The sequence below is a fragment of the Homo sapiens genome, chromosome 5 (assembly GCF_000001405.40).
Source record: "Homo sapiens chromosome 5, GRCh38.p14 Primary Assembly".
Lineage (NCBI taxonomy): Eukaryota > Metazoa > Chordata > Mammalia > Primates > Hominidae > Homo > Homo sapiens.
The window spans coordinates 153,978,810-154,000,401 of record NC_000005.10 but is presented as its reverse complement, the minus strand read 5'-3'; the positions used below and the strand labels follow the sequence as shown (position 1 = coordinate 154,000,401).

The window sequence follows — 21,592 nt, the reverse complement described above, 5'->3', positions numbered from 1 at the left end:
ATTCATCACCTTGAGTATTTATTATGTCTATATGTTGGTATCATTTCAAGTGCTTTACATTATTTTGAAATATACAAAATATTATTGCTAAGTATAGTCACCCTATTCTGCTATCAAACATTAGACTTTATTTTTTTCTATCTAACTGTATGTTTGTACTCATTAACCAACTTCTCTTCATCCCCACCCACTCACGCACCCACCTTTCCCCATTTCTGGTATCACAATTGTTCTGTTCTCTATTTCCGTAAGATCATGTTTTTTTAGCTCCCACATATGAGTGAGAACATGAGGTGTTTGTCTTTCTGTGCTTGGCTTATTTCACTTAACCTCGTGACCTGCAGTTCTATCCATGTTGCTGCAAATGACATTTTTTTTAAATAGCTGAATAGTATTCCATTATATGTGTGTGTGTATACACATATACATATATACACACACATATATATACACACACATACATATATACACACACACGCATACACACCACATTTTCTTTATCCATTTTTCAACTGACTTAGGTTAATTCTATATCTTTGCTGTTGTGAATAGTGCTGCAATAAACATGCAGGTGCAGGTATCCCTTTGATATAATTTATTTATTTATTTTCCTTTGGCTAAATACCCAGTAGTTTGGTAGTTCCATTTTATTTTTTGAAAAATCTTCATACTGGTTTTCATAGTGGTTGTACTAATTTACATTCTAACAATGTATAAGAATTCTCTTTTCTTGGAATTGTTGCCAGCATCAATTTTTTTTTTTTTTTTTGAGATGGAGTCTTGCTGTGTCACTCAGGCTGGAGTGCAGTGGCGCAATCTCGTTCACTGCAACCTCTGCCTCCTATGTTCAAGTGATTCTTCTGCCTCCGCCTCCTGAGTAGCTGGGATTACAAGCGTGCACACCATGCCCAGCTAATTTTTGTATTTTAGTAGAGACAGGGTTTCACCATGTTGGCCAGGCTGGTCTCAAACTCCTGACCTCAAGTGATCCACCTGCCTTGACCTCCCAAAGTGCTGGGATTATAGGCATGAGCCACCATGCCCAGCCATTTTTTGTCTTTTTAATAATGATAGCCATTCTAACGGGGGTGAGATGATAGCTCACTGTGGTCTTGATTTCCATTTTCCTGATGATTGATACATCAGTGATGTTGAGCATTTTTTCGTGTATCTGTTGGTCATTTGTATGTCTTCTTTTGAGAAATGTCTATTCATGTCCTTTGCCCATTTTTTAATGAGATTTTCTTTTATTGTTGAGTTCCTTGTATATTCTGGATATTAGTCTCCTGTCAGATGAGTAGTTTGCTTTTTTTCATCTTAGTACATATCACACACTGTTACTATAACTTTTGCAGTTAGTGGTGCAACAGCAAAACTAGCATGATTTCTTTCTCCTTCTCACAGTTTTACGGATAGAAAATTCATTCTTATTGTAGATTTAGCTGCCTCAGCATATGTTTTTGTTTTTCTTACTAAGTGAAGATCTTTTACCTTTTCACTTCAAGGAAGCACTTTATAGCTTCTCTTTGGCATATCTGAATTGCCAGCATCACAACTCTTGGGCTTTGGGTCTGCCTTAGCCCATTTAATGTTACTGTAACAGAATATCTGAGGCTGGGTAATTTACAAAGAAAAGAGGCTTATTTGGCTCATGATTCTGGTGGCTAGAAAGTCTGTTACTGTAACAGAATATCTGAGGCTGGGTAATTTACAAAGAAAAGAGGCTTATTTGGCTCATGATTCTGGTGGCTAGAAAGTCCAAGAGCATAGCAGTGGCATCTGCTTGACTTCTGGTGAGGGCCATGTACTGCTCCACAACATGGTAAAGAAGCAGAAAGACAAATGGATGTGTGCAAAGAGACCTGCATGAAAGACTGGACTTGCTTTATAACTACGTGTTCTCTGGGACCTAATTTATTCCCCCCAGAGTGAGAACTCACTGACTACTGTGATATTGCATTAATCTGTTCATGAGGGCACCTACCACTTGGTCCCACCTCCTAATACTGCCATGTTGGGAATCAAATTTCAACATGAATTTTAGAGGGGACATATCAAAACCATAGCAGGGGCCATTATTAGGTAAAATAAGGGTTACTTGAACATAAGCACTGTGATAACACAACAGTCAGTCTGATAACCGAGATGGCTAATATTAATAGCTGACTAATGAGTGGGTTCTGTGGATATGCTGGACAAAGGGATGATTCATGTCCTGGGTGGGATGGAGAAAACAATGAGAGATTTCATCACACTACTCAAGATGATGTGCAATTAAAAACTTATGAATTATTTATTTCTGGAATTTTTTATTTATTATTTTCAGATCATTGTTGACCATGAGTAACTGAAACTGCAAAAAGTGAAACCACAGATAAGGGGGGGATACTGTATTTACTCCCTTGAAAAGCTTTCTTCTTTCACATTTAGTACCAGAAGTGATTTGTTCTCTTCTGACAATTGTTAAATATAACTTATTTTTTTAAAAAAAGAAAAAACGTTTCTGACTTTTCCTTTCTTTCCTAGGATGACAATTGTGTTGTGTAAAGAGTTGTCCTCTCTGTCTAAAGAGTTCACTACCTGCCTAACAACTGCTGGGGTAAGAATCCATGCCTCTTACTGCAATAATGTTTGTCTGGTTTCTTTAGCAGTTTAAATATCATAAAATTTGCTCACTTTAAGTGTACAATTCAATAGTTTTTAGTTTTTAGTATATTTACAGAGTTGCGCGGCCATTTCCATAGTCTAATTTTAAAACATTTTCATCAGCCTTCCCCAAAACTCGTACAATCCCCATTCCCTTTCACTCCACATTTCCCCAGCCCTACGCACCATGAATCTGCTTTCTTTCTCTATAGATTTGGCTGCTTTGCATCTTTCACATAAATGGGATTAAACAATATGTGGTATTTTGTGTTTGGTTTCCCTCACTTAGCATAGTGTTTTTGAGGCTTATCCACATTGTAGCATGTATTAATACTTTTTATTACCAAAAAATCTGTCTTATGGATATATATCACATTTTATTTGTTCATCAGTTAGTAGACATTTGGATTATTTCTGCTTTTTGGCTATAATGAATAATGTTGCTATGAACATGCATGTATGTTTTTATGTGAATATGTTTCCATTTCTCTTGGGTAGATAGCTAGGAGTGGAATTGCTGGGTCATATGGGTGATATGGGTCATTAAGGAATTACCAAACTGTTTTCCAAATTGGCTGCACAGTTTTACATTCTCACCAGCAGTGTGTAAGGGTTCCAGTTTCTTCGTATCCTTGCTAATACTTATTGTTTGTTTTTATTTTAGCCATCCTAGTGGGTATGAAATAGTATCTCATTGTGGTTTTGATTTACATTTCCCTAATGTACATCTTTTTTTCTTTCTTTCTTTTTTTTTTTTTTTTTTTAAGTTTTGCTCTTGTCACCCAGGCTGGAGTGCAATGGCATGATCTCAGCTCACTACAACCTCTGCCTCCTGGGTCCAAGTGATTCTTCTGCCTCTGCCTCCCAAGTAGCTGGGATTACAGGCACCTGCCACCATGCCCAGCCAATTTTTGTATTTTTAGTAGAGACAGGGTTTCACCATGTTGGCCAAGCTGGTCTCGAACTCCCGACCTTAGGTGATCCACCTGCGTTGGCCTCCCAAAGTGCTGGGAGTACAGGCATGAGCCACCGTGCCCAGCGCCAATGTTGAACATCTTTTAATGTGCTGGTTGGCTATTTGTCTGGCTTCTCTGGAGAAATATCTATTTCAGCAGTTTACTTGTTTTAAAACTTGGGTTGTTTGTGTTTTTATTATTACTTGTAGGAGATTTTTTTTTTTTTTTTTAATTTTCCTAGTACAAGTTTCTTATCAGATTTTTGATGGGAACGTATTTCTCCAAGTCCATGAGTTGTCATTTCGCTTTTTGATCGTGTCCTTTGCAGTGAAATTTTACTCCTCTGTTTTCTTCTAAAAGTTTGGTTGTAGCCCTTACATTTATGTCTGTGATCCATTTTGAGTTAATTTTTGTGTATGGTGTAAGGTAGGGGGCCCTGCTTCATGCTTTTGCATATGGATATCCGTTTGTTCCAGTACTATGTGTTGAAAAGACTGTTCTTTCCTCCGTTAAATTCTCTTGGCTTCTTTGTTGATAATCAGTTGGCCATAGATATATGGGTTTGTTTCTGGACTCTGATTTTTAGTCCATTAATTTGTATGTTTATCCAAATGCCAGTGTCATATCGTCTTGATATTGTAGTTTTGTAGTAGGTTTGGAATCAAGAAGTGTAAGTCCTCCAACTTTGTTCTTATTTTCAAGATTTTTTGACTGCTTGGGGCCTTGTGCATTTTCATATGACTTTTAGGATCAGCTTGTCTATGTCTAATTCTAATTAATTTTTGTTTTCTTCTGTTTATGAAGTTTTCAGTATTTTTTATGCTATCTTCTGAGACCTATAATGGAAATATAGACCTTGATAAAATTCAAACTTCAGATTTTGACTCTGGTTTTAAAGAGCAACTCTGTACTTAGACTATGGCAGTGCTCACAGTATGCAGTTGCCAGCCGGTGGGAGAGAAGTAGTTAAAGCTAAAGTCTTTTGGGGATTTTAAAAATTGGAATTGTAAAAATTTATGAAGATGTGTGAGCTATGGAAGATGATTGAGAAACCAGTAATAATGAGTTGGGATAAAATCAAGAGCATTTTAAACAAGCAAATGAAAATTACTTTATAGTAAGTATATCAGTGTCAGTGTAGCAGCAAAATTACTGTGGGTTCTTAAATTTTATTTATTTATTTATTTTAAAGCCCTAGTCATGAACATTACATTTGTTTTAATTAAGACCATGGCCTAAGTTAATTTTTTAAAATTTGAGTTTAGATTATTCCTGTAAAGGATAATCTTTTGGTACAGCTTCACTTTTCCCTGTAGTATTTTCTTGACAAAAGGATCTGGGTTTCCTGAAGTTAATCTTACAAGGCCAAATCTTTCTGTGTGTTCCATAAAGATACTTTAAGCCAGCATATCAACTATAAGATGCTGACACATACAAGTATTAAATTTACATTATTTATTTGTAAGATTTTTCTAAACAGCTTGTGTTAAAGACCCTTGAGTTTTTTGAGCACATGTTCCATATCTACATGTTTTGTTTTAAAATGGTTCTAAGGTTTTGTGGTCAAATGAAGATACTTTTTAAAGTCAATAAAAAGGTATAAAACAATACACTGTCAATATGGATAGCACAGAAAGATATTAAGAAAGAAGTTTAAAACACTTAGAATTTCCATTCTAAAGATGACATTTTGCTCTCAGTCCAGACTTCTGTGCTTATATTTAATATTTATGTATGGGTGTGTGTGTGTGTTTTAAAGTGTGATCGTACTCCACTTACTGTTATTTAACCTACTCTGCTCACTTAAAAATGTATTCGTTATTCCAGGTCAAAGAAATGGCAGATGTCCTTAACCCATTAATCACTGCAGTATTTCTAGAGGTTAGTAATTGTTTTTAAGTCTCTGACTCCAAAGGTATTACGTATAATTAACTCTTCTGAAGCCTTTTGCTTTTGGCTTTTTTATTTTATTCACCATATTGGTAGTTTAGCCATATTGATGTAGATATGACAGAAATAGTGTATATTTGATGTGTATTCCTTCCTTATTAATTAGAAAGCATACAGTTGAAGCTGCAGGGTACTGGAAGAAGCAGTAGATTGTCATTACTTAGTACTAATCCTTGACAGCTTAATGGACGGTTCACAGTAATGAAACACCTTCTGAATACCAGCTGGTAAACATGAAGGGCTGAAAATTATAAACAGGTAAGCACTGCTTCCTAATTTAGGACTAAAGTTTATGCAGAGGTTTGTTACAAAACAAAACATGTTGTCATTTCCTTGCCAGGAAATCATGCTTTGTTTTGTCAGAAAGGTAGTGTTTACATTATCCTCATCATTCCATTAGATTTGAGAAGGTAGATGGTTTAAGTCAATGGAAAAGAGGATCCTGTGACTGATTATATTACCTCCCTATGTGATGTTTTCTGGATTCCATGTTTTAAGAACTCTACCTTGTAAACTAACTGTGCAGACAACATAGACTTTTTGATGATTTGTTTAAAACATGTTTATGTAAGTCTGGGGGGAGAAAATATATTTGATAGTTAAGTTTTAGATGTTAATTGAAAAAATGTTTTAACTACCAAACTCTTACTTCTCTAGTTTTAAATTCTTTTGACATTACCATCAAGGAAATGATTTTAATTCTTTAATTACACAGTTTTAATCAAGTAGTCAGGGAAACTATTTTGATCATTGTAATAATTTTTAAAAATATAAGTTTGTGATTTAGTAAATGGCAGAGTGGTGCAGTAGAAAAGACTTTGTAAACCAGGAGCCCCGTGTTGCCCTGGATCTTCCTTGATTTGTTGTGTGACTCTGACAAACTTCGTTATTTTCATGTGCAACATAAGAGATTTAACTAGACGATATCTGAGGTCCCTTTTGTGTGGGAAATTGAGTATTAAATGTCACACTGAATTTTAAATAGTACTTGCCATTGATAAATTTTAAAAAGGTAATATCACTTGATATGGGCTCCCTATTATTTTTAGTGGATTTTTTTTTTGGATACAGATTTGAAACACTCTTGTCTTCGAAATTATACATTTTTATCTTAATGAGCTCTCTGTTGATATTCTTTTGAAAGGTGAGGGCTTTTCAGTATAAATGAAGTCCAGCAAACTGAGGGTAATGATTCTCTAACACTTCTGAAAAATGTTGTTCAAGATAGAAATATATCTATACTGTCATCTTTGAAAGCAGTATATGTGTGAAAGATGTTTATGTGTGTGAGCAGTTATTGTGCTCACTGATCGCATTGAGTCCATGGAAAAAGAGCTATCATAATGGGCTAGAAATTCTATAGGTGTAGGATTTATAGCCTTCTGAAAGCCTCTTTCAGTAATTGACCACAATATTGTGACAGAATCTACCCTACTCAATAAAGGAATAAATAAGCTTTGAATGCCAAGTCTGACCATGTTGCCAAAGAAAAGCTACCATGTCTGATGGGCAAGTTGTACAAAATGCTGACATTCTCTTTTGGTGCTCATATCATCTTAAGAGCTAAATTCTTCTCCCTATAATAGAGTTTACCAAAATGGCCAAGTCACTGCTCTTACTTGCCAGGCTATGAATTCAGTTAGATTACAAAAATTAATCTGTTCCCCTGTTGCCTTACAGTATATCTTCTCTTTTAAATAACTAATATTTTCTTTTTCTTGTTTTTTCAATCCTGGCAGGCATCAAACAGTGCCTCCTACATCCAGGACGCCTTTCAGCTACTCTTACCTGTGCTAGAGATCTCTCTCATTGAGAACAAGATTGAATCACACAGACATGAGCTGCAGGGCCAGAAACCTTTGTTAGAACATTGAAGAATGGAGACGTTTTGACCTGGGACTTGTGACGGCCAAGGAATGCCACCTTATTCTGGCTACTCCTGCAGAAATGAAGGAGTGGGGTTATTTTAGTATATAAAAATTCAGGCAGGAGAGATGGTTTAAAGAGGAAGATTGTTGCCTTCAGTGTTTGATTGAAGTATTCAGGTTCTCACAGTATTCTTTCCAGTTGTTGTAATTCATAAATTATTTGAAAAGAAACTTTTGTAGAAAGTCCAAGAATAATAACTCTAGATAAAGATTAGTGGGACACTCAGGCAAAAATGTTGGTCTTTCTTTGACATGTTGCAAAATGTTATCAATTTTGTCATGGATATAATTTGCAGCCCATGGATATAACTGGTTGATAAGCCAGAGAAAAATAATTTAGTGTTCTAAAATTCATGGCATGTGTGGTTTATTAATGCCATGTACTTTCTCCTTTCTGGAATAAAATCTATGGCTTTAAGAAAACTGAGCATATGTAAACTCTGTGATGATTACCCTTTATCACATGAATTCTTGGAAATAGAAAGTTTCATCTGCTTTTTTAAATTCTTAGTAGATATTTGGCATTGAGGAGAAACTTGTAGACTATTATAGCCATGTGAATTAACTGTAGCAAAGTGCCCTTTTTCTTCAAATTGCTCCCCCTCCCCAGGATGACACACTTCATGTCATAGCTGAACCCTACTCTACTGGATTCAAGGCCAGTAAATGCAATTTAGAGAAGCAGTTTTATGTTTGCAGATATTCTGAGTCTCTTCAGGATGTGTTTCGTGTCTACCATATATGCAGGATAAATTCTTTAACAGCAAACTCCAAAGGAATGTTGAAGCTGTTTTAGCAATGAGGATTTTTTTGTTTGAGTGTTGAAGTGGGCCATAGTCCTTTAGAAATGATGTTCATTTATGATAGGATTTAACTTCTAAGGCATAGTTTATTTTTTCCTCTTTCCTTTTTGTTTGTTTTAATGTATTCTTTAGCATGTTTTTGATATAACTTTTATCCTCCAGATCTTAAGCTTTCTTTTGCTCTCTTCAGCAATTTAAGAGACTATTAAGCTGTCGTCTTCCTAAAAGCTATTTTGGTATCCACTCTTTTTAAAAAAATTCTCCAACTTTGTGGTTTTTTAATGATTAAGGTAATTTGTTAGCTCTGCCCCTCATCTTCTAAAACCTTTGTAATAAAATGTATTAATCATGTTATTTGATCCTTTCATTTACTTTTGTAAACACGAGCCCTAATATCTTACTTAGACCAAAAAAAAAAAAAAAAAATAGCAAAGCAAAGCCATAACATAGATTAGTATAAAGACTGTTTCTACGTAATCTTCTTTGGGGCAGGAGTCAGTTAGTAAGCAAGGAAGAGAAATAAATTTGGTTTAAAAAGGTATACCAACAGCACTACAATGTTACTCTGCCTATATTCTGTCTTAATATGATCAGAAAGTTTTTGAATATTCCTTTTTAAAGACAAATTTCACCCTTTCCAGCTTGAATATTTCTGAAGTTTCAGAAAAACAGTTGCCTTCTGGTTACAAAGGCTGGTGTCACCAGTTCTGAATTGTTGCCTCAAGCTTGGTTGATGTGTCTGAACCTGTATCCCTTGAGGGCAAAGTTTAGAAACTGGTCACTCTGCCTACTGTCTGTTCAGCCTCTTGTACAATGGCAGTTTGGCAGCTTTAAATCCTTAACCTAGAAATGTATTTAAGGTTTTTCTTTCAAGAAATGGGGTATACATATGAAGGAGAGAGTAACAACTCTTTTTATACACCTATTCAGATTTCAGCCCTGAATTTGGCAAATTTTAGATTAGGTCTCACATAAGGTAAATATGACTCACTAACTCTTTTTTTCTCATCTTCCCCACCCCCCCATATATATTTATTTATTTTAATGGAGTTAGGGACCACTAGTGAAATGATGAAAGGCCCAATTCTGAGTAACAATTGTCTACTCTTCACATAAAATATACTGAAAAAGAATTAAGATTCCTTGATCCAGTAGACATAGAGAAACATAAACATTCATGACAGATGAGTAGGTAAATTCAGGGATCACTTTGGAACTTGCTGGATTATGGTGATGGTTTTTGGATAGTATGTGCTTCATTATTTTATTTGGGGTAGTTACAGTGTTTTAGTTTTTTGTTAACAGCTACACTTTTGGTACTATTTTCCTTTTAAATTTTTGGTGTCTAAGATTTACCACTAATTACTAATATATGCCTTTCCAATTCACTTAAAACCTTAATAAGTGAAATGTTCAGGTATTGCTAGGGTAAATGTGTCTTTTCCTACTATTGAGATTTTAAAAGGCTGTGATTAAGAGAGACTTTATTAATTTGATCTGAAAGAAGTAGAAACCTCTATGAAACAATTTTTATTTTCCTTTGCATAATACCTTAGAAATGTGTTAAGGACAAGCTATATTTTCCTTACTTGCTTTTGATAGTTTTTTTTTTTTTTTTTAAGCATAGATATCCAGGTTGGCAGGCCTCTGAAATGTGAAATTGTAATTTTTATAGATGGCATTACTATGAATCTGAAATCAGTGCTAGGTGTACAAATGTGAATTTTTCAATCCTGTAATCAAAGAACAAGATCTTGTGGGTTCCTACTGCTGAAAAAGGATGCTTTCTTTTGTACTTGTTTTTAGTGAAAGACCTTTTTGAGGGAGAGCTATTTTATAGGTAGTTGCTATTGATATCTCCATTTGAGAAATAGACATTTTTCTGTATTTCTAGAGGTGTTCTGAATTTTAAACCTGAATTCTTCAGTTTAGAAAACCCAGAATAAAATTATACCCACAGTGGGCACTCAACAAGTGTGATATTTCACAAATGTCAGAGACTGAGCTGTTTTATTATCTCTTTGTGTGTGTGTGTGTGTGTGTGTGTGTGTGTGATGGAGTTTCACTCTTGTTGCCCAGGCTGGAGTGCAGTGGCGTGATCTCGGCTCACCGCAACCTCTGCCTCCTGGGTTCAAGTGATTGTCCTGCCTCAGCCTCCCGAGTAGCTGGGATTACAGGTGTGTGCCACCACACCTGGCTAATTTTGTATTTTTAGTAGAGACAGGGTTTTTCCATGTTGGTCAGGCTGGTCTGGAACTTCTGACCTCAGATGATGCCACCTGCCTCGGCCTCCCAAAGTGCTGGGATTACAGGCGTGAGCCACTGTGCCTGGCCCTTTTATTATTTCTTAACAACACATGATATCTCTTTTCATAAAAGACTTAAAAAGCATTTGAGAAATGAGAAAGTTCTAAAAATAATAAGCCTCTTAGTTAACATGTCATAAAGGCCTCTGGCAACTGTATGAAGAGAATTTTGAAAACTTGCCCACTGGTCTGACTCTCTGAGTATATCCTTGATGTTCCTCAAACACTAGTTCATTCGGTCCTCCCTACTTAACTTGAAGCCCATCCTTCCCTGTTACTGTATCGTCCAGCCAAATCCCAAAGGCCCTTCATGTTTAATTATCATTTCCCCAGGCAAGTCCTAAAGACAATTTTTTTAAAAATCTGAATATTCTCTCAACTCATTTGTCCTTTGAGCTAAAAGCAAAGAAAGATTCATTATAGCTGTCACTTCACCCTCACAAGTCAATGTTGAACTTACCAGACATTTAAGTGTCTGACTGGCCTACCCTTATAAGAACAGATACAGAAACTGCAAATTGAGTGAAACCATCATCTATTTCTACTTGTGTCAGTCCCACATTTGTCTCTTTCTGTATACATTAGCCATTCTGTGCTCTCAAGTGAGTTATAAAGCTGTTCTGTATAGTGGAAATAGGTGATCAAAGTATGGTTTCACAAATCACATAGGTTATTTCCATAGAGAATGTTGTAGCTTCACAATGCTTAAAGAGGGGGAGAATAATGAGCACAAACCTCACAGGGAATATACTGTATAGAAGAGGTATGTTAACCATATAGTAAGTGAGTTCCAAAATTATTAAAAGTCTAGTTGCTCAATTAGGATAGGAGCAGACCTCTGTGGAGAGTAAGTCTAGTTAATGTTTGAGATACACCTTTCTACAAGTGGTTTTAGGTGGAAGCTGGGTTGACCACAGTGGAGACACATGCGACAGGTGAGGTCCCTCTAGGGCCAGTCTTCAGAGATTAGCATGAAGGCTACAGGGTGTCATCCTGTCACAGGATGACAGAGCACAGAGTCTGAGCTCTCTGTGTTTGGAGAGGTGGCTGACGAGTGTAGCTCTGCCTAAGCTCTCCTGGTGTCTGTTAAACTCTTGAGTGTATATGTATTTTTGAAGTCCAGTAGTTGAGGTCGGTAACTTGGTAATTCGCATATGGGGAGTCTGATAAGGTTTAATGTAACAGTCCCAAGGGGAGGGGGGCTCACACCAAGTTCTCACATATGGAATCTGATAAAGCGTCATACTCTTGAAGGGAGGGGGGATTTCACTCCAAAACATCAAATGGTGTAAAAAGCTACATTACAAAAGAAGTCATTTTCCCAACTTGACTGTGAATGTACCAATATGTTTAATTTTTTAAAGCGCATTTGTAAGTTGGAATGGAGGTAGTTTGCTACAGAGTTTCTACCAGCCATCCTCACCTGGCTAACTGTTGCAGTGACCTTGGCAGTTTCAGCCAAACCTGTTTAAACCTGAAGTGTCTACATAATTTCTGTAGCTGCTTATGTCGGAATTGTAGGACTTCTCTTAAGTGTTCATTACAACTGGGTCTTCCTTTACTTCTCATTGGCATATCATTGAGAGCAATAGAAACTGCAAAATTAGCTTGTATGTTCAAGCAAACATTCAAAATAAGAATTGAATAGTATGCAGTTATAGTATTCAGTAAATCAACAAACACTTAAGTACTTTTTTTTCTGCATTTATATTGCTTACCATTGAGTTCCCAGCTTCTGACATAGGGTCTGGCATGTAGTAGGAAATGTTTGTTGACTGACTGAAAGAAAAGGAAAAAATAAAAGAAGAAAAGGAAGGAGGAGGCAGGGGAAAAGGAACTAAAGCTAAAAGCAAAAAACAAAGAGTGGCCTACTGTTTTGCTACCAGCAGAGAATATAGAGCTGGGAGGGACTCCAGAGTGTATATGGTTGAAACTTCTCATTTCACTGCTAGGGATGTTGATGCCTCATAGGAGGAAGTGACTCTCCCAAAGTCACACTGTTGGTAGGAGGCTCAGTTGGACCTGAACCCAGGTCTTCTGATCCCTGGCATGGGGTTCTCTGTGTTATACCAGAATCTTACTGGGTTTCTGCACATATACTGAGAGGTTACTCCTTCCCAGACAACTGGGTTAAGGGCTGGGAGAACAAAATGCAGAATATGTGATTCCTGTCCCAGAGGAGCTCACACTCGTGCCAGTGGCTGAGCAGTCTCTGCATTGTAGCTGCAAAGCCCTCTGAGAAAGTGAGGTAAGAGACCAGCAGGACTTGTTTTCTGGTCACCACCCTGCTGTTCTATTCTGGACAGGAACTGGTCCAGATAGGGTAAAGTTTAAAAAACCAGCAGAAACCAGCAGATGGTGACAAAGGTGATCTCTAGTTGCCCTCATTGCTCATTGGCATAAGACACTCCCACCAACGCCATGACAGTTTACAAATGCCATGGTAACAACTCAGAAATTACCACCCCCTTTCTAGAAATTTCTGAATAACCTGCCCCTTAATTTGCAGGTAATTAAAAATGGATATAAATACAGCTAGCCAGCAGCCCACAAGTACCAACTCTGGGCGCATTGCCCATGAACCCTGCCCTGCAAGGAGCAGTACCATTCAATAAATGATCACTGTCTAACACCACTGGCTCACCCTTGAGTTCTTTCCCAGGTGAAGCAAAATCCCTCCTGGGCTAAGCCCCAATTTTGGGGCTTGCCTGTCCTGCAACATGTAGCAACCACAAAGGGATGAATACAGCGATCAGGAGGCAGTGACCAATTCAGCAATAAGACGGTGGGGACAGTGGCAATAGAGATTGGTGGAGAGGCAAGATGACGAGAGATGGTGAGAGATGGTGACTGACAAGGAAGTGGGAGCCAGCAATCAGCGGTCAGTTGGATAGTAGGATGGCAAAATGGAGAAATGGTCATCAGCACTATGGTGATCAAAGCTGCAGAGCCAAGGGCTCTTTTAAGAGCCGTCTTTCCTGGGAAAAGCCAAAAATGCTCCTGGGCAATTTTGGGGCTTGCTTGTCTTGCAACAAAAAGAAGTGAGACAGCTGCTTGGTTGTAATGAATTGTGGTTGAGTTGGATGGACATGTCCCAAATCTGGTTGTGATTGTTGAGTCAGGTAAGCATTGCAAATGTTTGTAGATGCATCTGTCAATATCTTCAAATTGCTACCTTTGTTTTGGTGATTTATGTCTTAAGGGGCCAATTTCTGCTATGTATGGAACTACAGAATCATCTACTGTACATCAGCCACCGGTTGTTAAAAGAGGAAACTAACATGTATAGAGCAGTTTGAATACCAAGCATCATGGGGTACATTTTTCTTTGTAATCCTCACAACTGCTCTGTGAGGCCAGGCAATGGCACTCCCAGTTTATGAGCTGCCAGGAGGGTGTAGAAGTTAAGAGCAAAGACAGGCTCAAAAAGGAATCTCAGCTCCCTCATCTTCCAGGCCTGTGACCATGAGCAAGTGACTTACTCCCTTAATTCAATTTTGTTATCTGTAAAATCAATCTCATAACAACACTTGTTTTATAGTTATTGATAGGATTAAACAAAATAATTACATAAAGTGCTTAGAACAGTGCCTGCCACATAACAAGATGAGCTTATGCTCATGAACTCATAAGCACTATGCCAGGCATTGTTCTGAACATGCATTACATGTATTAATTATATGTATTAATTCAATCCTCACAACAACCCCATGAGACAGGTACTGTTGACATGCCTATTTATAGATGGAAAAACTGAGGCATAGAGAGGTTAAGTAACTTACCTGGGGTCACAGAGCCAACAAGTGGTAGAACCAGGATTTAAAGTCAGGCAGCTTGGTACCAGAGTTCCTGCTTTTCACTATTTCATTGCACTGTCACTATAAGCTGTTGGTAAAGAAACCTCAACAACTATTAGTTATTTTATTATGATGAGTATGATAGAGATTCAGAGGGTTAAGCGACTTGCTCAAGATTTCACAACTATACATGGCAGAGCTCTTGCAGAGTGAGTCTAGGTTTTCTGGTTCCCTAACTCATGCTTGTTCTGTTGTATTTCTTTAAGGGGAAAGGCTTGGGAGGTGCCTACTTAGAGATAAATGTCCGTGGGGGAGCATCTGGACAGAGTATCTACAGCCACTAGGAGTTGGCATAGAAAGGACAGTGTGGTGACAAGTCATGCTTGCCACAGCAGGAACAAGGGCTTCAGTCAGGTAGGAGCGTCTATATCAATTCCTGATCAGAAAGAAAAGAGGAGTACACAAATGTTCTTAGCAGCTTTATTTTTAATAAATAGAAGATACTTTAGTAAAAGATGCTTTATTTGTAAGAGCCCCAACCAACACAGATATCTTTCAGCTGGTAAATTAAATAAACTGTAGTACATCCATACTGTGGATTGCTCTCAGCAACGAAAAGGAATAAACCATCAATACATGCAAAAACTTGGGTGAATCTCAAGGGAATTATGCTGAGTGAAAAGATCCAATTCTAAAAGATTGCATACAATATAATTCTATTTATATGGCATTAAAATGACAAAAGCTTAGAAATGGAGAACAGATGAATAATTGCTGGGTATTAGGGATGGGGGAGGAGGTAGGGTAGGTGTGGTTTTAAAAGGGCAACATAAGGGATCCTTGTGGTGATGCAGTACCTTGACTGGTGGTGGTTGGTAAGTGGACACATGAGCCTACAAATGTGATAAATGTATAGAACTAAAGGCGTGTGTGCCATACACACATACACACACACCATATAAATAAGTACTATTTATATTTATTTATATAAATTTCTTACATGCATGCACACGCACGGACACACACACACACCATATAAATAAGTACTATATATATTTATTTAATGACACCGTAGTGTTGATGACCATTTCTCCATTTTGCCGTCCTGCTATCCAACTGACCGCCGATTGCTGGCTCGCACTTCCTGAGGAATCAGAGTAAGATAGATGGATTGTATCAATGTCAATATCCTGGTTGTGAAAGGACACTTAGTTTTGCAAGCTGTTATCATTGGGGGAAACTGGATAAAAGGTACACAGGATTTCTCTGTTTCTAATAACTGCACATGAATCTGCAATTATCTCAGTTATTTCAAGTATTTTTAAAGGAAGAGGAGGTCTTTTGTGCCAGGGATCCAAAAAGTCAAGCAATGTGGCCCACTCCCCAGGAGTGGAAACAAAGACCTAGTGGGTCGTCTGGTCCTTTTGAGTGTCCCTATCATGAGCACCCGGAAGCAGGAATGGTGGCAAGTGTGGCTCAGACTGGCTCCTCTCAAAAAGCAGGTACATTGGTAGCCAAAAGTGGGATGAGAGGAGTGCACGAGTTTGAGAAGGTTTCCGGAGGGGTTCTATCATTCTTCATTGAAATCCACCAATTTAGTAGAAAAGATGGTTATGGAATTCTGTTTCCAGCATCATTAACACCATATGCTGCATTAAACAGATGAAGGAAACTCTACAAATTAAATGAAAGTTGCCCAAGACAGTTGAATACTAATTCTGGCTCCACCCCTACCTCACAGGATTTATACTGAGATACTTTCTATCTATTAATCATGATAACAGCTAATATCAACTGAGTAGTTACTGCATGCTAGGCCACTGTGCTGGAGGTTTTAAATACATTATCCTATTTATCTTCACAATAGTCCCACAAAGATGGAACTGTTCTTATCTCTGTCTACAGATGAAGACACTGTGGCCTGCAGAAGTTAAGACATCAGCCTGAGGTAATCTGGTGCGAGGGTGGTAGAGTGGATTCAACCCCTGTTCTGCCTGTGTGCATAACCACTGCACTAACTGCTTCTCAGTTCTCAGCCATAAAAAGAAGAGACTGAGCTAAAGTGTTTGGATTCTTCATGGTTAGAGTGATGTTGAGCCAGTTAGCTAATTCTGCCCTGAACTTAACAGGAGACAGTAAAGAAATAATTTAAGAACTCCCAATTTTGCCCTATGGGGAAGAAGACAAACCTGGGCAGGTTGAGGGATAGAGGCAGCCAGCACAGACAGGGTAATGGAATGACTGTCACCCTTTGAAGAGATGTGACTTACTGAGGATATCCTGTTATATCCTGATTGGATGTGAAAAATAAGCCTGCTCTCTCCAGCAGAGTTCAGGGTCTCTGAAGAGTCCTGATGGTTGAATGCATGCCTGTCTCTTCATTACCTAAAATACAGTAAATGGGAAGACAAAATATCTGTGAGCTTGCTCAGTCAAATTCACAGAGCCCGCCTGGAAAGGCAGCTGGTCCTGCTAAGAAGTCACAGGAAGGAAACCAGGACAGGATGCACCAAAGGTGGAAGGTGGAAAAGAGATGCCAAGACCCAAATTAAGAGGATAGAGAATCAACAAACACAACAACAAATAAAAACAAATATTGCCAAAGGTTCTCTGTTTTCCTGCATCTTGTAGTTCCTTGGGATTTAAGGAGGAGACTGGGTGGTTCTTGCTGCTTCTGTATCTTCAGGGTTGCGTCCCCACTCAAATGGAATTGGGTAAGGGACCATTGCCACCTAGCATAGGCAGCCCCATCAGCTGTCAGTGATCATTTAAAATCCACTTCGGCTTGTAAGCTTTTTCCTGCTCATTTTCCCTTAGGAAGCAGAACAGCAATAAGTTTAAGAGTGAGCTCTGGAGCCAGAGAGCCTCAGTTCAAGTCCCAGTTCCACCTTTTATTGCCTATGTGCCCTGCTCATCCAACCTCTCTGCACCTCAGTTTGACAATCTGTAAAATGGGATGGTACCCACTTCACAGGGTTGGGTAAGGCGATGCACTCCACCCCATCAATGTTAGCTATAGTTGATTATGACTATAAGATGGTGGAGGATATTCTGAGACACCAAATACTTCCTCATATTCTGCCAGGCAAATTTGTGTCTGTCTTAATTGTATGGCTCTGGGGCCTCCTGAAGGATGAGAGGAGAAGTTGGGCTTCTTGCCTTAGTTTTTTAGCTTTTCTTTCTCAGCCTCAGTTTCCTAATCCATAAATGAGAATAATAACATCCACCTCTGTTTGACTTGTGACATCTTGGGCATCTCTTAACATAATGTATATGGAAATACTTTATGGAGTATATGGAAATACTTTATGGAGAATAAGGCCTGGTGGTGAGGACTAACATTTTAAGAGATATTCTTGAGTAAATGATGACCACTCTGAGGCTGTGTTCTCCACTTTAAAATGTGAATAATAATACCTGCTTCCAAGAGTGAGGATTAAGATGATAAAGCCCTTGGAACATGGTACCAGTACAGAATCTGCTTCTCCCACCCTTTGCGGTCCCCTACCTATGATCATGTTTCCTAGTTAAGGAATCCTCATTTGGATTTCTGGGTTGGCAGTGTGAGAGGGGAGGGTGGTTGTCGGGTGAAGTAAGCCCATGACTAAGCCTCATTCTAGCCACCTCAGCCAGTTTCAACCTGCAGTATTATGGTTATTTCATCCATCCTGGAGTCAGAGCTACTGGTTGGATCCTATCCCCCTTTCTTCCTGACCTCCCACACTTTGTGAATAGTGAGTTTTGCTTACATATTTGATTTAGAGAATGGCAGGAAGGGATCTGGGATCCTGAATAAAGCATTTGGGGCCAAATGATATTCCTGTGATCACTAGGCTTCTCTCAAGTCTCTTTCTTGCTACTTCCTCAAAGAAGATGCAGTCACTCATATTTCCAGTACCCAGTGCATTCACTCATGCATAGGCAAATAATGAATACAGTGAAAACAGCCAGCTTCTGGCCAGTTCTTGCTGATGCAGGCAAGGTCAGATGGTGTCTAATAGCCATGGTACCACCTTTGATTTGTACCAGATTTGTAAAGAACTTTCACATAAGCATTTCCACTCCTATTTTAACGCGAGGCAACTGAGGTCCCCAGGAGTCAAGATAGGGACCAAAGTCACTCAGCTAGTAGGTGACGGTGCTGAAATGTGCACCTTGTGGGTTTTTTTATGAGACCCATTCAGCTTCCTTCAGAGAGTGGAATCTCACACAGTGGATGAAACCCTCGTTTTAGTGGACCAGGCAATAACTTCTCAGCAGACAGTAAAGATATTTCCTGTTGTGAGGGCTTTGCCTTCTTCACCCAGGTGAGAAGCTGACCCTAGTGTGAATAGCGATGACCTTGATTGTGGTTACAGGGCTCTGGAGGGGATCCTCACATATGCAGTTGCCTGACTTCCTATATATAGTGCAGTGTTAAGATCATGAACTCTGGGATCAAATTGACCTGGGTTCAAATTCTGGGTAAGCTGCTAGCCGTGTTATCTTGGGCAATATACTCTCAAAGCTGTACTTCTTCTTTTATAAAATGGAATAAAATGAACACATATCTTACAGGAATATTATGGCTGGCTACTCAATTTGTAGGCTCCAGGGCAAACCGAAAATATGGAGTTTTTAATTCAAAAAGAGAAGAAGACAGGGTCTGGTGGCTCATGCCTATAATCCCAGCACTTTGGGAGGCTGAGATGGGTGTTATTGCTTGAGCTCAGGAGTTCTAGATCAGCCTGGGCAACATGGTGAAACCCTGTGTCTACAAAAAATACAGAAATTACCTGGGCATGGTGGTGCATGCCTATAGTCCCAGCTACTGGGTCGGGTGGTGGGGATGCTGAGGTGGAAGGATCCCTTTTGCCCAGGGAGGTCCAGGCTGCAGTGAGCCATGATGGCACCACTGCACTCCATTCTGGGTGACAGAATGAGACCTTGTCTAAAAAAAAAAGAAAAATATTTTTCCTTTTGTCCACAGTGTCATTGGCCTGCCATGGTGTTTTTATTTGCTATTTAACGTTTTGCTCCCTCAGGCATGGGGATAGTTGCCAGGTAAGTGCAGGCTCTATAGGTACCTGGGCCCTACCTAAGTGCACTGGGCCCCGGGGGAACCGAGGCTCCATGTCCCAGCACGTGTTTCATTGTCCCATTGGGCTTCTCTTAACAAGTCGGAATTCAAAGATGAAATTATTAAACACCTCAAGATGGGACCACAGAGATTAAAGCCCCAAATGTCGGCCTTTCTAAGTGTGGTCTTGAGTGCCTATACTGGTTGCATATCCATGAAGGCAGACCTGAATATTCCTACAAAACATTTAGCACAGTCTCTGGCCCATAGTAAGGACTCAGTAAGTAGTCAGTAGGAGGAGTCAATTTTGCTCACTCACTGGTCACCTTAGGAATCTCATAGCTCAAGCCTTCACTTGAGCTTTGCACCTCCAGCCTGGCTCAAGGAAGAGGCAGAGAAGGTATCATTATTGCCTTTGTACAAATGGGAAAACTGAGACCCCTGAGAGGGAATGGGTCTTTGGCTACATTGAATCTGTAGTTAGTAACGGAGCCAGAACTGAATGGTGATTTCTAGACTCTCAGTCAGTGCTAAGCATCTCAAGCTGAGGACCTATTCTGTACTCAATACTGGGTAATTCAGAGTGTCCACAGCATCTGTCAGGGACTGCAGCCCCTGCCCAAGCCCCTAACATAGCTTTCCAAACCCTGGCTCAATACCAGCCTCCTCCAGAAAGCCTTCCCTGCCAAGAACCTCCCCAGAGTATTTTTTCCTTCATATACACATTTATCCAAAATTTATTCATATGGAATATAGTTTTATTCTGTGTTTCTTACATTACCAAACATTATGAGCATATTTGCCTAATAAGACAATAATATTTTTAACCTTATTTTTAATAGCTTTATATTTCATTTTAGAGAAGCTCTAATTTATTTGACCAATCCTTTTGTAGGACACTTAGGTGGTTTCTAATTATTTTTCAGTTACTAAAGGGAAATGTACCAAGTTCTTAAGAGCATGTGCTCTAGAGGCAAACTGGGTGTAAATCTAGGTTAGATGTGTGAACTTGAGCAAGTAGTTCACCTCTTGGAGCCTCAGTGTCTTTGCCTATAAACTCAGAATATTAGTGAGGATTAAATAAATTAACATATAAATAGCATTTAGGAAATGAAATGAGTATCATATATGTGTTAGCTAATATTATTCTGTTATCTCTATTACTTTGATAATGCTCTAGTTGATACCATTTTACATACATCTTTGAACATATAAGTGATTATTTCCCAGAAGTTGCATTACGGGATCTGAGGAATGAGTGTTCTAAAGGTTGGCATAAAATGTCTCCACAATTTATGGAAGCTCCCTGAAGCTGACAGGGAGATCAAAGGGGCTGAGGTTGGGGTGGGGTTTAAGATTAAGCCCCAGGCTTTGGCTGGAAACATTTGTCATGATGTGAGTGTGATGCATGGGGACATTTGTACATCCAGTTTTTCCACTTCAGGGCTGAAAACAGGAAGGATAGAGAGTATAAAATCCTTCCAGAGCACCCCAGAAAGCATCTAGTAGGCCAGCAGAGAAAGCAGTTTGCTCTCCAGCTTCAGAATGGTTAAGTGGGTATTTTTCTCTGTTCTCTTCCTTGGTTCCTGCCATGACTAAAGAATTTGGGCCTTGGATTCATGGGAGTTGAGATGATATTGGATGGGACCATTGAGTCATAGGCAGCCAGGGATCTGTGATAGGGCTGCCACTTCGGGTATAGGAACAGGGAGGATTAACGGCTGCTTTTGTGGTTTGCCTGCCCCCTAATATCTCCTTTGTCAACAGCCGTCCATGATGGATTTATGGCTTAAAAAGCAATTTGTTTTTATGATGTCCTTTGTACAATTCAAATACCCAGGGAAGATATATATTTCACAGAATGAGAGAGTCATAGAATTTGAGAGATGGAAGGGAACAAATTCCATCCAATAATTCTTTTAGAGCAGACATTCTCAAACATTCCTTTAGGTTTTTAGGCCCACACTTAGTCTGATTTAGGGTCCCAGCAATCTGCCTCTTTAAGAATCTGCCCAGGACATGCTAATGCAAGTGGGTTACACTTTGAGGAAGTTTGTTTTATAACATCCCCAGCAGTTGGTTACTTCTGGTGTTGGGGGGCTCACTACTTTGGGAGACAGTCTATTCCATTTTAGAATAGGTCTGAC

General features: G+C 38.9%; 1 protein-coding gene across 13 annotated transcripts in view; it reads left to right on the top strand.

Moving 5' to 3' along the window:
• The window catches only part of FAM114A2 (family with sequence similarity 114 member A2), a 48,763-nt gene extending 38,509 nt beyond the window's left edge, over positions 1-10,254 (top strand). For all 13 annotated transcript variants that reach the window (NM_001317995.2, NM_018691.4, NM_001317993.2 and 10 more), the window contains 3 exons: positions 2,527-2,599; positions 5,430-5,483; positions 7,292-10,254. In NM_001317995.2, coding sequence (NP_001304924.1) covers positions 2,527-2,599; positions 5,430-5,483; positions 7,292-7,426 — 262 coding nt within the window. In that variant the 3' untranslated portion in view covers positions 7,427-10,254. The remainder of the gene's footprint in view (positions 1-2,526; positions 2,600-5,429; positions 5,484-7,291) is intronic.
• Positions 10,255-21,592: the final 11,338 nt, after the last annotated feature.